At 37.9% G+C, this 21,328-nt stretch overlaps 1 protein-coding gene across 9 annotated transcripts in view, besides 2 other annotated features; it reads left to right on the forward strand.

Moving 5' to 3' along the window:
• The window catches only part of MITF (melanocyte inducing transcription factor), a 228,869-nt gene that overhangs the window by 116,457 nt on the left and 91,084 nt on the right, over positions 1-21,328 (forward strand). Inside the window, exon 1 of one of the 9 annotated variants that reach the window (NM_198177.3) lies at positions 10,304-10,426. The exons of the other annotated variants lie outside the window; for them this stretch is intronic. Within the exon in view, the coding sequence (NP_937820.1) occupies positions 10,371-10,426 (56 nt within the window). The 5' untranslated portion in view covers positions 10,304-10,370. Of the gene's footprint in view, positions 1-10,303; positions 10,427-21,328 lie in introns of those variants that run through there. 9 annotated transcript variants of the gene reach the window in all.
• Positions 8,156-10,358: a promoter, noted in NCBI's record as "-2153 to +48 fragment for MITF-H promoter". NCBI's record gives its function as "promoter in D407 retinal pigment epithelial cells" and the evidence as "EXISTENCE:reporter gene assay evidence [ECO:0000049][PMID:10760582]".
• Positions 10,172-10,273: a transcriptional cis regulatory region, noted in NCBI's record as "-139 to -36". NCBI's record gives its function as "positive regulation of transcription" and the evidence as "EXISTENCE:reporter gene assay evidence [ECO:0000049][PMID:10760582]".

Raw genomic sequence — 21,328 nt, forward strand, 5'->3', positions numbered from 1 at the left:
AAACGCAGCATGTAACTTCCATGGTGATATTCTCAGTCCTACTTGGCCAGCTTCCCACTTTTTCTGTATGGAATCATATCTGAGAGTCATGCTCATTTCCCACAGTTAGTGAGAGATTGGGGCTGGGCTCACTTACTGTGATTTCAGAACCCTACATGGTTTTCTTTATCAGACTGAAATTCTTTGTAGCTATTAGCCTCTCACCACAATAGAGTGGGCCACTCTATCGGGGCTGTGTTTAATCTCGTTTCCACTGAAAGTTTCTAGCACATTCTTTATATCTCTCAATCAATGTTTCCTAAATTTTAGCTATTCTCATGCTAACTTCATTACTTTTGCTTGCAAAAACCACATGGAACTTTAAATATTACATGTTTTAAAGGAAATGTTATCATACATGGAAGCCACGAATGGAAATAGGTATTAAAATCAATATAATGAAATTGAAAGAAAATTGTTAGATTCTTGCTAGGTATATTGTCTGGACCGGCAGGTGTCTGAGGTCTGACCTGTATTGTGAACAAAGGGCAAGTGTTGAGAGATTGAAGACATATTAGCATCAAACAGAGACTTTCCTTAGATGGAAGAAATTTGAAAGGGCCCTTCTCACTGTGTGATTCCATGCTTAGTTAATGTGAAGTCTGTACATCTCTATTTGAGATCATCTTGTATCCCACACTTTGGGAACTTTTGCTCAAGATTTACCATGTTTCTCAAAGGAAGCCTATCATTCTCCCCCAAATTTCCAAAGACCTTGTTTCCCCTAGAAAGCCTTTTTGAAAAATTATTTCCTTTTTTGAGAACTTTCTTCTTCTATTAAGAAGTATAAATTGTGTTGATATGTTGGGTTACTTTTTTTTTCTTCCTTGTAATCTCATATTTTCTTAGTCTCTTTTCTAACTAGATTAAATTATTTGAGGACAAACATTGTTTCTTTCTAGTAAATGCCATTAATTGAATTCATGCTTGGTATAATATTCAGGGAAGTCTGCTTCATTCTCTGTTTTTTTGTGTGTGTTTTTTGTTCTGTTTTGTTTTTGTTTTTTTTAAGTCAGATCATCGTTAGAGGTGGCCAAGAGAAGCCATTATGGTCAATTAATTAATCATTTAACCTATTGGTGAATAGTTATTGAGTGCCTTCTCTGTGTCTGGAATTGTATGTGGTGAAAGAATGAAGTAGTGACCTAAACAGACATGGTTCATGCCTTTATGGAATTCAGAATCTAGTGTGGGGTACAGACAAGTAAAGAGGCAACTCCAGTGCAAGGTTCTAATTTTAGAATTAGTTTGCTTTTGTGTTCATTGGGTAGATTACAAAAACTTGGAACAGAGAACCATAGAGAGGAAAGTGTGGGCTCTGGAGTTTCAAACTCCAGACCTGTGGCACATTAACCTCTTGATTTTGCACAGGATACTCATATCTCAATCCCTGCCCCCCCCAGTTTCTTTCTTTAAATAAAAAAGATTTGTTTAATAATAAACATGGGGTATGATATGCAAATATGAGATACAGTTATCAGTGTGACAATATGATAAACAATTCTCCATGTCTCTTCTCTCCTCCTTCCTCTTTTTTCACATAAGGCAGAGACGTGATCTCATGGTTTTTTTTTTTCAAATTTTCATGTTTCTTTCCCAACACGCTAATAAATGAAAATGCAGTGATCTAGATCAAGTATAGGAACTAAACATGTTTGTTAATGGGAATATCATTGTAGATGGTGTTTAAAGGTTGCAAATGCATTCAATTTTCACATTGTCTGTTTAAATTAATAAATAATTTGAGCATTCAGCATTACCCCAGAACATTTTTCTCTTAATAATCATGATATATCAGTTATGCATCTTAAGCCTATTGAACAGTGCCTGGGACATAGGAGGTGCTCAATAAATATTTGTTTAGTGGATGAATGGATTTTAATAATTTTGACTCTTCCTTCTTTTATTCATGATTTTGTTAACATCTTTTAAAAATGAACCAATATTGTTTGATATTAGGAGCAAGATAAGCTTAAATTATGGTTTATATTATTCTCTATATCTGTATTACCAGCCTTACCTGTTATATCTGGCAGGTAATTAATATGTAGTAAATGTTAAGGGGAGAATTTAGTAGTTTTTTTAGGCATTATTTTTTTAAGAACACATGACAATATTTTAAGTAAGGATTTAATTTGTCTTTTATATTATTTCATGGTAATATTCATTGGAATTACAGACTATTAATTTAAAATATTGGTTATTTGAATATTTTACTATCAACATTAATATACACTTTGATTATAGGTAAGACTCCCTAGAGTGTCAATTAGATGCAGAAAGCTAATGTGCATTGAGTTTATTATGATTGATTAGAGTTTATTATGATTAATCAACAGACAGGAAGGATTTTTGTGCAAATATTATTTTTCTCATTTTAAATCCTGTTTGCTCAGCATAACTGTAACAGGATGTCATTAGTATGAGAGTAAGTTTTGAGATGCTTTAAAAGTTTGAGAAATTTGACTGTTAGCAAAAATTTAACATAAGGTGATTTATTTAGCATAAAGAGGTTTGATTTTTTATAGTTTTACTTATTTAAATACACGACTTCCTGTGTGACTCCTGGGTATGTTTACATAGAAAAAATATAAACAAAAATTATGATTGACACACTGAATCAGAGCAGAAGGTTTCCTGGACTAGAATTTGGTTTGTAGCTAAGACAACCACTGAAAAGACAGAGTTTGTTGTCTACTATCAGAAGTTACAGATACCATCAATATTTAGTCTTTAGTTATGCACTATGAATATATTATTCACAGATTTATCTATACCTTTCCTGAACTTACATGTATTTTGAATCTGGACTACCTCTTAAGATATCAAAATTCAAAACTACCTTAAGCATTGTCTCCAAATAATAACTTTTATTTGCCCTAGAATTTAAAGTTCTTTGAGGCTCTAAGGGCTGACTTTTCATTACCTAACAATGTTTTGAAATAGAGTCCTCGCTCCTTGTGTCACCTTGATTGAGTGCTATTTTTCTTGTACCATGTTAAGTACTTTTCATACTTTATCTCATTCAATCATAGTATTAATCTATGAAATAGGTAGTATTAATATTCCCATCTTATAGATGCAGATCTTGAGACTCATAAGTCGAATGCCTTACCCAGAGTAAAACTAGGATACGAAGGGTGGTGTGTGTGTCTGCATTGAATCACCACACTATCCTGTCTCCAGTTGGAAAAATGGTGCCATGTTTATATCCATAGGAGTGACACATTTATTAAATAGCAGACCTCTCAGAAGTTTGCTTCCCACAGGTTGAAACCACTGCCCTGGATCCTTACCACATCTTATACAAATTGGAGGTTTTGCACACCAGTGACTTCCATACCACCTTCCACAATGGCATCGTTGTCTGCAAGAAACAGTGTCTCTCTACCTTCTGCTCACTCTTTGGAATACAAACATTTAATTTATATGAATAGACTATAAAATCTAGATGGCAGAATATCCCTGTCTTCTTTATCTCAGTCCCTTCTTCTGGCTCCTCCTTGGACCAGAATGGATTTAGATGGTCCATGGAACTGCTGATGTCCTGGGATCTCCTAATGAGATGGAATCAAGGGAAGGGTGGGTTCATCTCAGCGGCTGTGAGCTTAGCCAAGGTGGTCCATGGAGGCCACTTCTACAGCTGAATTGCATGTTGCTTTAAAATATTATAATACCTTGACTCCTGCTTGGAAGAAGAAAGAAACTGATGTTGTAGATGAAGATGATGGTGATGCACTCTCCTGTTTCAATCCACAACACCCCTAAAAGATAGGCAGAGACATTCATATTCTTATTGTCCTTCAATATTTCATAACTTAAAAAAAGTTACTAACAGTAAAATATATGTCCACATTTTTCTTTTTAAATGAGTAAAGAGTTAACCCATAAATTGAGATAAAAACACCATGATTTTCAGGTGCTGATGTGGAGATTTTATTTATTGTAAAGTCATCTTGTGAATAACTTTGTCCCCCACACTGATGACGGCCTTATCTTTTCCTGTTTACTTACCTTGATAAGATAGTAAATTGCATTTTTACTAAATTTCTCATTTAAAAATATTATCAAAGCAGCATAATCTCATCAGTGTGTTCTCTCCAACTTTGTGTTGTCTCACCTACTCTGTTTATATTCTAGATTGTAGTTTTCTTATTGCAAATACTGGTTGCCATTTATAGATAACAAAGAAAAGCCTCTACATAACCTTTAATGCAGGAACAAGTATTTATTTTGAGATGAACACTGAGAGAATATCAAAGAGTTTAAGGTAAGGGATTAATCCGTGGTATTGATTATTATATTAAAGAGTCATGCTAATGTTTTATATATTTTTGTTTGTTAATTGCTTAAAAATTCACTTTAGGCTGGGCGCGGTGGCTCACGCCTGTAATCCCAGCACTTTGGGAGGCCGAGGCGGGCGGATCACGAGGTCGGGAGATCGAGACCACGGTGAAACCCCCCGTGTCTACTAAAAATACAAAAAAAATTAGCCGGGCGCAGTGGCGGGCGCCTGTAGTCCCAGCTATTCGGGAGGCTGAGGCAGGAGAATGGCGTGAACCCGGAAGGCGGAGCTTGCAGTGAGCGGAGATCGCGCCACAGCACTCCCGCCTGGGCGACAGAACGAGACTCCGTCTCAAAAAAAAAAAAAAAAAAAAAAAAATTCACTTTAGACAGAATTTGAGATGCCTCTTTGTAGACTATATTTTTATCCTCTGGACAGATTCTTTGAAACAGTTTTTAAAAACATTTAATTTTTCCTTCTGGATGTTTGTATAAATATCTTAACCATTCTTTAATAATGTTGGGCTGCATCCCAATCAGGTTTATGTGGGGTCATCTTAGTCTCTTCTTTATTTCCCTTTTCAACCTTGAAGGGCTTCCTTGGTTTCCGGGGACAATGAGCTGTCTTTGAGAGGATGCTGTAATATCACTGTTACAGGCAGATCTGTTCTTGGTAGGAGAAAAAAATAGAAACAGGATGAAAGAGATAAACGTGAGTGAGTGCTACTGCACAGTTATTTCTGCAAGTAGGTAGTCATTAAAAATTTTCTTCAGTCATGCTGTGATGGTTTCAAATTAGAGCCGCTGGACCAGTTCCTTGCAAATTTGTACCCCAATACTTTCTGCATGAAAGTGAGTTGTGCTCAGCCACTAAAAGCTTGCAAATAAAGAGTACACAGTTGTATATCCCATTTATGACTATTGACTTTCTTCATAATTAATTAAATGCTACCCTCAAATTATACTTCATAGATCCTTCCTTATCTGACCTTTTTTCATTTTTGTCAGTCATTCATGCATTCTTCTTTCCTTCTATCCATCTATCCAGCAAATATTTAAATACTTACTATGTGCCAGGCACTGAGAAAAAGGTAAGTACAAGGAACCTGCCCTTAAGAACACAGGACAAATAGATAAATAAAAGGATTACAAGTTGAATTAAGTGCTATAAAAGAAAGAAGCTTGCTTCAAGAGCACAAAACAAAAGGAGATGTTTCTTCTTTAGGAAGGATGGTCTGGGAAGACCTCTCTGAGGAAGAAATATAAGACCTGCAAAACATCATCTGCCAGGTCAGGAGGCGCCAGGCCAGGGAAGGAGTTGCAGAGGAGAGAGAAGAGGGCTCTAGCATTCTGTCCTCCCTGTACCCTCTTCCCATTGGCATGTGAGTGTGAGTCTTGGGTTTCTCTGGAGTGAACGCCTGGAAAGCAGAGCCTCTTGCATCTTCATCCTTGTCTTCCCCATGGCGCTGAGAACAGTGCCTCTCACACACATGCTGGGAAAACTAATAAATGTTTGGATTGAAGGGCCTTTCGGTGGCATGTGACTTTTCCCAGAATGTGAGTGTGAGGCCATCTGGACAAAAGAGATGTGTGTGTTACTCTTGAGAGTACTTTGTGAGTTTCATTATTACTTTGATGAAACTCTTTAATTACCCCACAATAAGGCTTTCATTGAACATTCCACATGGATATTTTAAAGAATTAAAATGTATGAGTAACTTCTTTATTCAATAAATAAAAGGAGCTTCCATTCTTGAGTATTTTCCTGCCACTCTTAACAGACCATTTACATAGATAATATTATATATAGCTATATATATTATAATGTTATATTATATATTAGTGGTTTCTAGACTTGACTTCACTTTAGACCCCTATGAGAATCATTTTTTAGAAACACAGAATTCTAAACCATACCCCTGCAGAATCTCACTCACTCATTTGTTTGGGGAAAGATCCTTGAACTTTATACTTCTTAAATCTCCTGTATTTATTTTAAGGAGGTGGGGTAAGGAGAAGGCTCCTCAAGTGCTTCTGATAGGAAGACAGGTTGGGGAACCATTGGCTGGGATCATAATGAAACATTCCAAGACCAAGTAGATGCTTCTTAAATTGTGTGTAGTTCATGGGCCAACATAGGACCCAGCACATAGTAAGCTCTCAAGTGTTAACTGTTGTGGGGCTATTGAGTAGAAGTATGAGTTTACTGGAAAGAAAAATGACTATCAAAAGAAAGAATATAAGAAAATATGGTGTGCTCGGGCTGGGCAATAAAACATTTAATGCCTAAATAAAATAAGAAGAATTTTGAGCTATGATAAAACAGTAGCATTACTTTTCTTCAGCTAAGTCTTGGACAGGATAACAAGTAAAATCCCTTATCTCTTTTCTAACCTGTTCAAAGCAGTGATTGAATTTTTCCTTCCAAAAAGATTCTGAAACCCAGTTTAGCTTCCAAGGAAAAAGTTGGCTGTCACTTGGATGGTTGATTACTTTAAATCCCATTTTAGTTAAGGTTCAGCTTTTAAAGGGTCAGTAAGAATTCTGATGACTGTAGTTGATTTGCTGCAATTTAGGGCAAAGAGTAGTACTTATTATTGCAGAAGCACTGGAGTACTGGTGATGTTTTTATTCTGCATTTTGTGCTTAGTTTTTCTGATATTATTTTTTCCTCCCCAACCACACTACAAATTCTTAGTCTGTGTTTAAACTTAGGATTTGGGTATCTCTCTCTATCTCTCTTTCCCTCTGTGTGTGTGTGTGTGTGTTCATATGCATATACATATATGTATACAAACTCAGGAAACACATCTGAATAGTACAGATGTGCCCAAGACAGTTGCTTACATATTACGTTGATTCATTTTAAAGATATTCATCAAGCCATGGACTGTTTATTCTGCTGAGTTCTAGGGATACAACATTAAACCAAACGGACATGGTTCTTGATATCCAGAAGACATGTGTTCGTTAATTTGGGTGATGACTTGAGGAGCAGTATTTTAGTGCTGGGAAATGCACGTAACATCTCATGAATTTTGTATATGGTGGCCTGTGTTCATATTTAAGCCAAGCTTTGGTCCATTTGCTAGTGGACGTTTCATTGCTGTATCCAAGAAGGTTCCCTTAGAACTGTACTGTAAGGTAGATCTTTCTAAAGTACTGGTGTAAATTGTCAATAGAAATATTTCTTGAGGCGGTGGATTGTCCAACATAAAAAGTCAGGTGATGTTACTGGCTGAACCTGCCAGGGGAATATTTGGCACCACATTATGTCCCCTTCGGGAAGGGCTGGAATTGATACCATTGGTTTCGTGATCAATATTTGAGAACTCATGGAGGGTACAGATTTTCCCTGTGTGTGAGCATGTAATAAATCAGAGTTTCAGTTCTAAGATGTACCCGAGTGCCTTGTAGGTTTACTCAGCTTTAAATAGTGCCTAAGGTGAGAGAGAAAATCTGGCTTGAACTTTTATTTATTTTATTTCATTAAAATTTATTTTTAAGAGATGGGGTCTCCATTGCCTGGGCTGGTCTTGAACTCCTGGTCTTAAGCAAACCTCCCACTTCAGCCTCCCAAGTAGCTAGGATTACAGGCATCTGCCACCGTCCCTGGCTTGATTTTTTAGAAAATTATCCCTTAAAGTTTCTGATATGGTTATTCCCTATCCTTTCTTTATTTCTTGCTCTTCCACTTTCTTGATTTTTCATTTGTTTTTTTCACTCTGTCTCATTTCTCTTAGTTCTCTAGATTGGTCAATATTAATACAGGACAGGTAGCACTAACCATGATTATAATTGTAAGAGCTTTTTTAAAAATTGAGCGTTTATTATGCATCAGAGACAATGCTGAACACATTACTTGTCATCTCTTTCAGTTCTAACAATAACCTATGGGTAGTCACTTATTTCTCCTTTCTCAGGTGAAAGAACTGGGGCCCAGAAAGTTTAGAAAATTTGTACAAAGTCATAGAATTAGTAAGTGGTGAGATTTGAACCTGGATAAATAAACGTCAGAATCTATGTTCTTGATTTTCATGCCAAACTGTGCTAGAGGCAGGAAAAGAGAGGTGGGATAGGTTAGTAAGATAAATAGTGTAACATCTTAGTCATCTGTTTACCCCAATACCTGGTACAGTACCTGGCATGTAGAAAGTGCTCAATGACTGCTGTTGATGAACTTTCTCCTCTAATCGTATTTATTGGTCCTTAGTTTTACGAGCAATCTGCCCACTTTTCTCCACTTTGCACATCTGCCCTTCCCATGAGCTACCATCACCTCCTACCAGGACTATTGCAGTAGCTAACTCTGACAGTTTTCTAGTTGGCTGTCAACATAGCAACCAGAGAGACCTTTCTAAAAACTCAAATCTGAGCTCATCGTTCCCCTGCTTGCCATCTCTCTGTGGTTTCTTGTTCATCTTGAAACAGAATCAGTGACCTTTCCCTGGCCTACCAGATCCTTCATGGTCTGGTCCTGGTCACTGTGTAGGTCTCACGGGCACCATGTTTTTCCTTCATACTATGTCCTTCAGTGATAGTGAGTCTGCCTGCCAACTTCCCACCTCATAGTTCTTACATATGTTGTTACTGCTGCCTGGAAAGCATTTTTTCTATACTCCTCCTCTCCCCAACTCAGATCTCAGACCAGAAGTCCCTGCCTAAGGAAAGCCTTTCCTGACCCTTAAATTTTAACTTTTTCACCTCTCTGCAGCAGTTATGACATTTTTCATTACATATTTATGTGATTATTTAATATGTGTTTCCCATTAGACTGTAAACTCCACGAATTTACACAATGCCTGGGACACAGTTGGTGTTCCATAAATATTTATTGAACAAAAGAAAGAAAGAATGAATAAAATGAGCAGAGAATAAACAGAACCAGAAATAGTTTGGCCGAGACTCCTGGCTAGATATTTCCTAGCATTAGAGGGAAGTTAAAAAAAAAGATAATTTCATTATATCACGTAATTTGAGTTTGATTATGGCTGAAGAGGTTGCATTATTTTCCAACCATTTACTTTGGAGATAAATGTAGGCACAGAGAGGTGAAGTAACTTGCCCAGTGTATGCAGCTAGTCAGTGTCAGATGTCTTTGTTATGACCTTTGAATTGTGTGTAGGGAGAAACATACATACAATATTTTCACAACTCTGTAGGGCATCTTTGGTGTGCTGAGTCCTGTAGGAGCTGCATGAATATTTGATAATATTGATGTTGTCATGTCTGCATTTTAAAGTGTTTTTTGAGAACATGTATTGCTGTTTTTTCTTCTTGTATACCAATGTGTTCAGAATTAGATTGGATGACAGTCTTAAGAATACACAGTTTATGGCCTAACGATTTGTGTGTCCTGAAAGATGGTGGCCATAATTAGGAGCAGTTTGTGTTTTACTTCCACCAGAACCGGGCAAGGACAACCCTCCTAATATTCTTGGGGTCTGAGGGTAAGGAATGCTGTTTTGGATCTCTAGCCTGTCAGCAAGGAGGGCATATTCAATTATCAAGCTCCAAAAATGCCTGTGCACAGATGCAAAACACCTAGAGTTGTGTGATGAGTTGATGCCCGAGAGCTCCCAAACTGAGAGGGGACACAAGCAGTTCCACAGTCCTCCCTCCTAGATTCTGTGACTCCAGTAAGTGTTGACAATTCACTGGTATGTGAAATTACCTCTCCTTTTAAGTTCTCTAATAATGTGCAGTCTCTGCAAGCCTCAGCCAGTACCGGAGCTGGGTAAGGCTAAATAAGCTTCCCGAGGTGCTTGCCTGGCTGCTGGGCTGCCTCCCTGGCCGTGCCTGGGTCCTTGAGTAGCCCTCATTGTGGTGTGAGGCAGCGTTTTTGTCCTGCAGGTACAGTAGGTACTGGATTAAACAGGTCTGCTGTTGCAGACAGAAACCAGGCACCGTTCTAGCACAGAGCTGTGTTTGGATTGGAGTTTCCAGGGCCTTATCAGGAGCCACCCCTAGTGACACAGCCAGTGCCAGAACTAACTTTGACTTTCACTCTTCGCCAAGGGCTTGCAGAACACCTTAAAGGAAAAAAGATGGAGGCGCTTAGAGTTCAGATGTTCATGCCATGCTCCTTTGAAAGCTTGTATCTGTAAGTGAAGTTTTATTCTGGAAATAATCCCGGGACCACTTAAGAGGAGCAGTTTTTTTTCTCTTTAAGGGGGAGGATAAAGGAAGAGAAGGGTTTATTGGGAGTTAAAAATACTGAAGCTGTTACTTCTCACTGGCTTTAATCAGCTTCAGCTGTAACCTCTGGTAGGTGGCTATGACAAGGATAACAACTAATTTGGGGGTGGGGGTGGGGGTGGTAGATAGAAATGCTAACCCAATATCCTTGCCCTCTCCTTTAAAATTGAATACTGGTCTTAAGTTAATAATGACAAAAATACCGCGACTGCTTGAAAAATCTGAGTTAGAGCAGAGCTTGATTTATGATTGCAAGATAGACTGCAGCCCAGCTTTGTTATGAATAAAACAGGATTTTCTTCAGGAAAACTGTGTGTTTAATACAGTAGTAACATTTGTCCAAACTCTCCCATTGTAAACACTGTGAATTTTTGGTTTCTCCCCCCACCTTTTTTTTTTTTTTTTCCTGACTGTGGAATGGTAACAGTTGCATTAATGAACATCTTCTTTGCATTCTTGTATATTGATTTTTTTCTCTTGGAAGGGGAAACAGACATCCAAACATCAGAATTGTCTGCCTGGCATATAAATGTAGAACAAGTTTAAAAAATGGCAATTTCAAAGAAATATTAAAATGGAGAAAAACTAAACAGAGTATAGTTCCCCCCACATCCTTTAACATTTACTTTCACTGTTAGGTGATAAGATTTGAAAACAGTGCTAAAAGCTGTGTCCCCAAGTGAATAGGCATTCAAGCAAATCAACTTATGCAAAAGCTACCTCTGGAGCTTAATCATTATTTACTGAACGTTCCTGGGTCATGGGAGAGGTTCTGATTAAGTCAGAAAGGCATTATGTTCAGCAGCTTGTGAAGGTGTGTTTAAAGACAGCAAGAATAATGGAAAAATACTAGATGTAGCAGATCTATTTTTAGAATTTGATTCTTAAAAAATATAAATATAATTACCATAAGTTTAAGTGTGGGTTAAAGTTCATCATTTTCAGTAGATACATCTTTAAAAGGTCTTATAAAAGGTAGTTTTAAAAATGATTTCTAACTTCTTGAGCTTCTATTTCTGCTGCAGTTTGTTTTAACAGATACTTTAGATTTTTTTCATTCTTTATGTCGTCATAACAGCTTAATTACTCACCTCTATAAAATGTTAGAGCATTTTCTAAACAAAGTATATATAATTATGTGTTTAAAATGTCACTATGCTAGAAATGTTATAAATTTTTGCCTTATTAATGAGATACTAGCTGGGGAGATGATGTCTACTCTTTGTGATTCATTCTCTACAAAAATATACTCTAACTTACTAATTTTTTAATATTAATAATGGATGGCATGAACAAATGAAACTTGCTATTCTGATTCTACGTAAGAATGGTAGTAATGTCAAACCTGAATTCACAGCCAAATTAATTCTTAATTTTGAATTTCATTCTTTTAGTTAACTAAAATACTTGTCGTAAGAGCATGCTTCCCTTATACACTCTCAGAATGAAATTCTTCACAAACACGTTTGACAAAACTTGTTCACTGAGTTATTGCCCATTAACTTTTCTGTGCGTATTCTTTTAGGAGAGCACACACTGTGAATTAATTGTTTTGTATTTTCCTCTAGGAAAGAAAAGGAACATGATAGCAGAAGGCAGCATTCTAGAATTTTGGCTCCCTAGAAAGTAACTTGTCAGCTTTGACTCGTTTTTAGATATTAAGATGTTCAGCAGATACCATTTCAGGAATTAAAACACAGACTAGAAGAATTCATTGCCTAACTTTTACTCATGTCCACATGGTTTGTGGGAACTATGCTAAGTATTGTGCTTGTATTAACACATTTAATTTTCACAACTGCTCTATGAAGAAGATATGTCTTTCCACCCCCATTTTGCAGCTGAGAAAACTGAGGCTTGGATAGGTGAAAAACCATGCCCAAGTGATACAGCTAAGAAATGACAGGGCTAGGAATTTGACCCAGGGATCCTGGCTCCAGGGCTTAATGCTATTATCTGTTGTGGTCTGTGGATTTTCACTTAAGATACTAAATGAATCAATATTTCTTCCTCTGCTTTTTTATCTAGTGGGTTTCTCCTATCCCTAGATTTCTGAATTACCAAACTGTAACTCATTTGAGCTCTTGAGGGGCCGTGTTTGGTCCTGATGCCACGGTTTTCGTCTACCAGGTGTATTTCCCTGAGTCCAGTTCACCATTGATTATAAGACAGCTATTGGCTGGGCGCGGTGGCTCACGCCTGTAATCCCAGCACTTTGGGAGGACAAGGCAGGTGGATCATGAGGTCAGGAGTTCAAGACCAGCCTGGCCAACATGATGAAATCCCGTCTCTACTAAAAATACAAAAATTAGCCAGGCATGGTGTCCCGGGCCTATAAACCCAGCTACTATGGAGGCTGAGAAAGGAGAATTGCTTGAACCTGGGAGGTGGAGGTTGCAGTAAGCCAAGATCGCACCACTGCACTCCAGCCTGGGAGACAGAGGCAAGACTCCATCTCAAAAAAAAAAAAAAAAGACAGCTATTTGGTGGAGAAAGAAACTTACTAAAATATATTCATTGATTATATGATCTCTTCTGACTTGGGAAATCTTAACATGTGGAGGGAAAGTTCCTCTTAGAATTAAGGAACTGTCGTAGATCCCTAGAGCCCAGAGTTCTCCGTCTCTGGATGATTCAAGCAAATGGTTTGAATAAGGGTGCACCAACTCTAAGGTTCTAGTATTATTAGATTCTATGAGGTAGAATATTTGTTGGGAGACAGACACCAACTTTACTCACTGAACAAATATTTATTTTGTTCTACTATGTGCTGGAGAGACAATATGTGAATAAAACATGTAAACATCTCTGCCCTCCTGGAGCAGATTGGACCAGGTCATGAAGGACCAAGCACATACCAGTTTCATCCCTGAGTCTGGCCCTCATTCTCATGGTTCAGGATGGCTTCTGAAGCTCCAGCCAGTGCAGCCAGATTACAGGAGACATGGTGGCAGAAGGTTTAGAGAAGGGGATCATTTGAAGGAGATTTTCTGTAGCTGATTCTGATACTCAGCCATGTTTGGAAATGAATACTAAAACATTCAAGATCACCTGTTTGTTTAGTAGGCGAGCTGGGACATGAGCCCACATACATCTCTCATTCTTAAGCCAGGACACTTTCCTCCATGTCTGACAAAATTCACATTCTCTTCCCCACCTCTAGTCAGCCTGGCCAGAGGTCTGAAAAGCCCTTCTGATACTGAATTCAGTGTTTTGGATGGAATCAAATGAGAAGGACTACTCACTCCTGCCAAATGGGCTATGAAACCACCCCAAAACATCTATCCATAAACTGCCCATGGCTTTTTGTGGGTACAGCACAACTGCTTTGTCATAAACAAAAGGAACCGATAGGCTGAATCTATAGGAACTGCCTCCCCCTCAGGAGGTACTATGAGATGGGTCGTATGAAGCTCCTCCTGCTCGTATGACTCACTTCACAATACCTCTCACCCCATGTCCTTCTCCAGCTGAGGATCCCACAATCTCCTAAGATGTAAACTTTAAGTTATGTTGAAATGGAGTCTTACGTAGAACTCCAGAAAACAGTTTCGGTGGTGTTCTTGGGGTTGTCTTAGAAGACTCTTGAGGATCTTTGTTCTTTCCTATTTTTCTTCACCTAGAACCACCATGGAGATGTATATATTTGATCTTTAATTTATATTATGCTATAGTACAGTTGCCGTAGTCAGTTGTATTTGAATTAATAAAAAAAACAGGCAAAAAAAAAAAAGCCAGTCTGTTTCATCACAAAAAGGAATTCTTAAGAATGTTTTGAAAGTGCCACCAACTGCACAAATCAGAGTTGGTAAATGGATACACACACACACACACACACACGTGTGTGTGTTTATATATATACACATACATATATACATGTATATATACACACATACATGTGTGTATATATGTATGTGTGTGTATATATACGTGTGTGTGTATATATATGTGTATAAATATATGTGTATATATATATGTGTGTGTATATATATATATATATTTTTTTTTTTTTGAGACGGAATCTCGCTCTGTCACCAGGCTGGAGTGCAGTGGCGGGATATCCGCTCACTGCAACCTTCACCTCCTGGGTTCAAGTGATTCTCCTGCCTCAGCCTCTTAAGTAGCTGGGACTACAGGCGTGTACCACCATGCCTAGCTAAATTTTGTATTGTTAGTAGAGACGGGGTTTCACCATGTTGGCCAGGATGGTCTCCATCTCTTGATCTCGTGATCCACCCACCTGGATATATATATTTTTAAATGGCAGTCTGGGTGTCTAACATTTCAGAGTGATTGGCACTTCTGTTATCTACTTAAATCTAATTGGCGAAACTTAGCATGTAGCCAGTCCAGCTCTGGAGACCTGGGAGATGTTGTGGGTGGGAGTGTGCCTAGCCAAAACAAAGAGAAAATAGGAAAATAGATGGGTGCTAGGTTTTATGAATTGTAGGTCTTAGGCTGAAACTTTGACTTTTTCCCCAGTATTACTGATATTTTTTAAATGTTACAAAACCAGCTGTAGTATCCCAGGGTACATCAAACTGGCTTAAGAAAAAATGGAGTTTGATTGGCCCTCGTGAAGTCCTTGTCCAGGGTTAGTCCAGGGCTATCATGACTTCAGGAATGATTTGATACAGGTGCTCAATGTCATATAAACACTGGCTCCCTCTTTCTTTGTTATTCCTTCTCATTAGTCCTCTGTTCTTTCTTTACTGTTTCCTCCAGTTTGGCTTTCTTCTCGGATAGATCCAGGAAGTTCCAGATTTACATCCTACCAGCTTTTCAAACCTTAGTTTAAAGAGACTCATTTTAACCTAATAGTTTCAGTTGAAGGAATAGGGATAACCCTTACTTGATTGTCTTGGGGCACAAGCACATTCCTGAGTTAGTCTTTGTGACCAGAAGGATGGATTTCCTGATTGGCCAGGGTCGTACTTCCATGTCTGGAGGTAGTGACAACACCATAACCTCATGAACTGAAAGTGAAGGAGGCTGGTTATTCAAGGTTAAATCAGGTACTTTACCAAACAAGTGGGACAGGATGCTGGGCAGCTATAAATGCCATGTGGCCACCATAAATCATTACTGCTATGTGTAAGGTTGCCTGTTAAACCATGACAGGTGTACCCATTCACTGCTCCTTAGATTACAGTTTGTACTTTTGTCTTTATTTCAACACAATGTTGGAAACTTTGCATCTTGGTTGACGTGTGCTAGACATGCAGTAATTGTTAAGTGATGGTGGTCTAAGGCTTTTGAATTTTCTCTGATCTGTTATAATGTCTAGAAAAACAGCCAGAGCATGCCCTGTGATTGGAACAATTATTTGAGTACAAACAGAAGGGCTTTCTACCTTTAAAAAGTTTATTCCAGTTCCTTTCACACTCATGTCTGAATTCTGTCATTAGTTTGTCATTGTGTTAGATTTTTAAAAATTGCTTTTTCTTTTAAAATACTCTCAGTGGAGCATCTTGCCATGCCGTATTAATTACTTTAAGGGATGAATTTCTCAAAGCCCTTTAAAACATGGCAGTTAGATGTGAATGGGATTCCACAGTTGGACAGAGTAAGCAAGAATTCTAGAGTACAGTCTAGTGAAAGGAAGCTTGATATGAAAAACAGAAAACTTGAGTGTGGGGCACTTCAACTTTATCTGCTTCATAACCTTTCAATGGTTTGGCTCTCAGAGGCGATTTCCTTGAAAGGAATTGAGTGTTAAGATTGTGCCAACCCATAATGGCATCTGTGGAAAATGGAGATCAGTCGTGGTCATAAAATGAGGAAATGGCAAAGTTCATATCCTTAGTTTAAAATATCTTTTAGTAAGAACTTGATATTCCTCTTAGTTGGAGTATACATAAGTGAGACACACTTTGGTAAAAAAAAAATAACCAACTTAAAAAAAATCTGCTGATGAAAATTGCCTGGAAGAGCATTGTTCGTATGTTACAGAGGTCTCTAAACATTTTTGATCCTTCTTCCTAGTTAATTTCTTTCAAGAAAACCTTCTCAACACATTTTCATTTGATTTATAAGTTATGTACATGTGCAACTATACTATTATATAACATGTACAAAAATAAAAAATGAAAGTGATAATATAAAATATATATGAAGAAATGTTTTAATTTTTTCTTCCTGCACCCAGGTTGTCATTTTTGGTATGGATTTTTGGAGAATACTGATATATTGGGAAACTTATTAAGGTTCTCCTTGATTTTTATCTAATCAGTCATTGAGATTAGTCTTTCCTGGTACCTGTTGAAGGTCCAGCTTAAAAAAAATGTGGAGAATCCTGAATGGATATGAAACATCTTCCATTTTTAGCAGCGAATTGAGGTCTCAGCATTAGAAAGAAAAGACTTCAGATTTTAAGTTGTGTGTGATTGGTGGTTCTTAATTTTTAGAATGCTTTTCTCCCTATGTACTGTGAAATGTACAAAGCTCTGGAGATAGGAGCATTGTCCAGTTGCGACACCATGATATCCTGCATGTCTAGCAGCACCTAGCTTTTGGAAAGCATTTGCGTGGGGCATGAGGCTATGTTTTGTAAGCCTTTGTATTTTAGCTATGCCAGAGACCTGGAGTATTTATTATCTGAGCTGCTCATGTTACCCCCAAAAAGGTGGAATCTTGGCAGATCTCCATTCTTTTTCTTGATGACTAAAACCCAAGTTAGGTGTTGACAGAAGTCCAGAAGATCTCAGTGTGAAGCCGAACTATGATATCTGGTACTTTCACATTTACATGGGTTACACTCCCAGCTATTTTAAGTACGAGGGATGATATAGTTTCTTATTAGTATTTTTTTCCACCATGCATGGTGAAAAACTCATCCTGAATCACTTTGGAAGGAATGGAAAGTTTGAGATAACAGAAGTGCCATTCACTCTGAAATGTTAGACACCCAGACTACCATTTAAAAAAAATATAGCCATTTACCAACTCTTATTTGTGCAGTTGGTGGCACTTCCAATAGATTGTTAAGAATTTCTTTTTGCTGGTGGAACGGACTGGTTGGGGGCAGTTCTTGTAGATTCAACCTATCAGTTCCTTTCATTTATGATAAAGCAGTTGTGCTGTACCCATAAAGGGCCGTTGGAAGTTTCTGGATAGATGTTTTTGTTTGGTCTCATAGCCTATTTGGCAGGAGTAAAGTAGTCTTTCTCCTTGTGTCCCATCCAACATGTTGCATTCAGTATCAGAAGGACTCTTCAGACCTCTGGGAAGGCTGATTGGAGGTGAGAAATGGAATGCGAATTTTCTCAGACATGGAAGAAAGTATTCTGGTCTAAGAATTAGAGGTATGGGTTCATGTTCCAGCTCTCCTACTATGCAGACAAGTGATCCTGGGTATTTTACTATTAGTTTCCAAACATCGGAATCAGTCAAGTGTCAGAATTGGCTGCAGAATTTTTGTGGACATATTGATTCCTGGGCCTTACCTAAACAAATCAGAATTTCCAGGAATGAGGCTGGACATTTTTATTTGAGATGAAGTTCTCAGCGAATTTTGTTTTTCTCAGCTAGCCTTTTGCATTTTGAAACCCCTGTAGCTTAACCCATACATGACATAGGTTTCTCCTTTGCCCAGGAGGTTAACACTATTGAACCTTCCTGTGTCTTCACTGTGTATATGAATATCCACCACTGTGCCTCCTGGACATAAATAAATTGTACATCAGTGCAAACAAATACTAGGCTTTGAGCTCTGTCAACCAAATGACTATGATGAAGATTATTTTTTACTGAATAAAAATGCTACAATTCCTACTTTATAGCTCATGAGAGATTTGCAGAATAAATTATCTTCTCTCTCCATCCCTGAAAAAGTTTTTTGAGTTCTCTCATTTAAATGGACATTGGCTAAACTTTACAAGACATATCTTCTGTGGTCCAAACTTGCACATAGGCATATAAAAAGTAGATTCCTTGTATCCAAAAGAAGAAGCATGCTCATGGTTTAATATTATTATTTTTACCACTAATTTTTGAACTGTATTCCAGTTTATTGGACCATGTTTCAGTCATTGTGCTAAGTTTTTCTATCTATTAAAAATTTTAATCCTCACCACAGTGCTGAGAGGCAGATGTATTGCGAAGCACAGAGATAGACTAACTGGGCCACAGTCACAAGTTACCGCACAGCCCAGCTGAACTCTGCCTGAGGAGTGGACTAAAGGAAACGCAAGGAAAAGTAGAACATTGCTTTAGCGTCTCTAGGTTTCTACTGATGACCAGAGTACTGTCTTAGAGGACTGTGATATTGAGACCAAAGACCAGTCCCTATGAGATAGTAAAAGAACACTGGCATCATGTCAAAGGTGAGGGGTGGGCAGACAGATGTTTGGATGCTGGAGCATTGAATTTAATGGAATTTCTGATATTGTTAGGTGGCTGACAAAGATAGAATAAAGTATTGGGATTTAGCAAAACGTCAGATAGTTCAGAGCCCATGTCCAAAATACCTATACCATCACAGAGAAGAGGGAGGCTTTGAAGGTTAAGAATGTAAATTCTGCCATAGAGGTAGGAACTCAGGTCACATTTGGTGGCCATCTGGTGTCTGTATACCTCCAGCCACTGTGCTGAACACTTTAATTTAGTGAACATTAACTGACCCAATCCCTGCAGCACATTAAAATGCTGGGTTTTGGAAAAGCCCAGAGAGGTCAAGTGGCTCATTAAAGCTCATGCAGCTCGGCAGTGACTGAGCTAGCCCTTGAGTCCAATCGGTGGCCCTCCTCCTCGAGCCATTGCTGACAAATTCCCAGTTCTCAGGGGAGTTGTGTGCCTGGCTTCAGTGATGCCGATACATGCCAGTAAAGGCATTTGTCTCTCTGCCCATCGGCTTTCAAAGGGAGCTTTCTGATGGTGAGATGCCCACCTTCCCATGTGGGACTTGATCAGAGTTCCGTAGTCTAGGTAACTGACTTAATTTTAAGGCGTCTCAGAAGAATTATGTGACTGTGGCTTTAAACTCTATGAGATTAGAAACCAGGTATTCCCAGCACCTGGCAATAACTATTTGTTGAATAAATGACCTTTACATAATCTGATTAAAAGGAATCAGACTCATGGAATTAGGATTATCTAGCGAAGATTCAGCTTCATGGCCTGGGATGAGTTCAGTTAGCTTTTAAAATTAAATACATTTGGACATCTCTCCTTGTGTATCATTAGTAGCTTCAGCATCACGTCCTCGTTTTAAAAAATAAGCATTGTTGCCACTTGTAATGTTCTCACATAAACCTCAATTTGGAGCTTAAGACATTATGCTCATTTGTCCTGCTAACATTGTGACATGCAGATATCCTTGTTTTTGTCTAGAAGGTGATAATTGCAGATTCAGTTACTTCTAAGAGAAAGGGATGTTTAGAAGATTGAGAGCAAAGCTGAGAATCTGGGAGTCATCTTTCACAATGTGGAAATATCCCGCAGGGAGTGTGTGCCATGAGGCGACTCTAATGCTTCCTTTGCACTTTTGGGTTTTTTTGCAGGAAGATTTATTAAAACACTGTCAATTAACTGAGCTGTGCTATATTTATATAACTATAAAAATATATTTGCTCTATTTTTTAGTGGGGTTTCTTTTCACTTATACTGGTCTACTTCATACATACGTATTTTTTTTTCAGACAGGATATTTCAGAAAATGCTTTGAATGATATTGTTGTCGACTTTCACGTATGAAGACTTAGTGCAGTTGATAACTAGAAATTTTAATTTAAGATGTCTTAAGAATGCTTTACTGTTAATTGAAAGGATTTCTTCCCCCAGTATCACAGCCAATGACTCGTCTTGAGCAGCTAATTAGTGCGATTATTCCACAGCTGCATTTGCTACAGCACAAAGGTTTGCTTCTGTTTTTATCAAAAGGATCAGTCTCTCTGGGAATGTTTTAACCTGACAGGCTTTGAATAGTAAGGCCGCTTATTTATTTATTTATTTTAAAATAACTGTTCCCCCCGCGCTTCCCCCCGCCACCCGCCATGCCCCTCATCACAGCTCTCCTTCTTTTCTTGGCTTAGGAAGGTACATTTGAGCTTTGAACACATACTCTAAAATGGGAAAATACATTTTTAAATGCTCTTTTAGTAGAGCTGTATCAAGTGAATAGATTATTTTAAGTGAGTTAGAATAATGGCCAAGTGCCCTTAATATGTGGATGAGTGCATGATATTAAATAATATGCAAGGTATTAATGCTGTTCGATTTGTATGTGTCTGTAGAAAATGTAGGAAAACATGAAGGAAAGAGGGTTTGTGTTTTCTGGAATGCTGAGCACTTCCAAGTTTGCCAATGTACTGGATATATTCACCACTTTCCCATCGTATTGTCAAAGTGTTGTCTATGTTGGATTCTGTCCCCTTTCTTCTAGCCAAATGGTGATTTTGATCACTCAAGTCCTTTTTTCATGGTCTTAAATTAGTGTCTAGAGGCATATATTCTGCCATTGAAAAAATACTATGACTTCTTTATAGTTGAGGGGAGTAAAATGATAGAAAGATAAATTTACCTGTAGTTCTATTCTCACCCTGGCAACTATCGTGATCTTTGGACATTCCCTACTAATCATTTTGCATACTTGGATACATGCATATACCACACTTATTTCAAATTAGAATGTAAATATACTTTTGAATCCTACTTTTAAATTCCCTCTTGTTACATACATTTCCCACTTTGTTCTGTAGTTGCACAATTTAAAAAAATAGGTAGTATTTTATTGAATTCATATATGATAATGTATTTAACCATTCTCATAGTATGGGACAAATTTTTTATTATTCATATATTTTGCAAT

The sequence above is a fragment of the Homo sapiens genome, chromosome 3 (assembly GCF_000001405.40).
Source record: "Homo sapiens chromosome 3, GRCh38.p14 Primary Assembly".
NCBI lineage: Eukaryota > Metazoa > Chordata > Mammalia > Primates > Hominidae > Homo > Homo sapiens.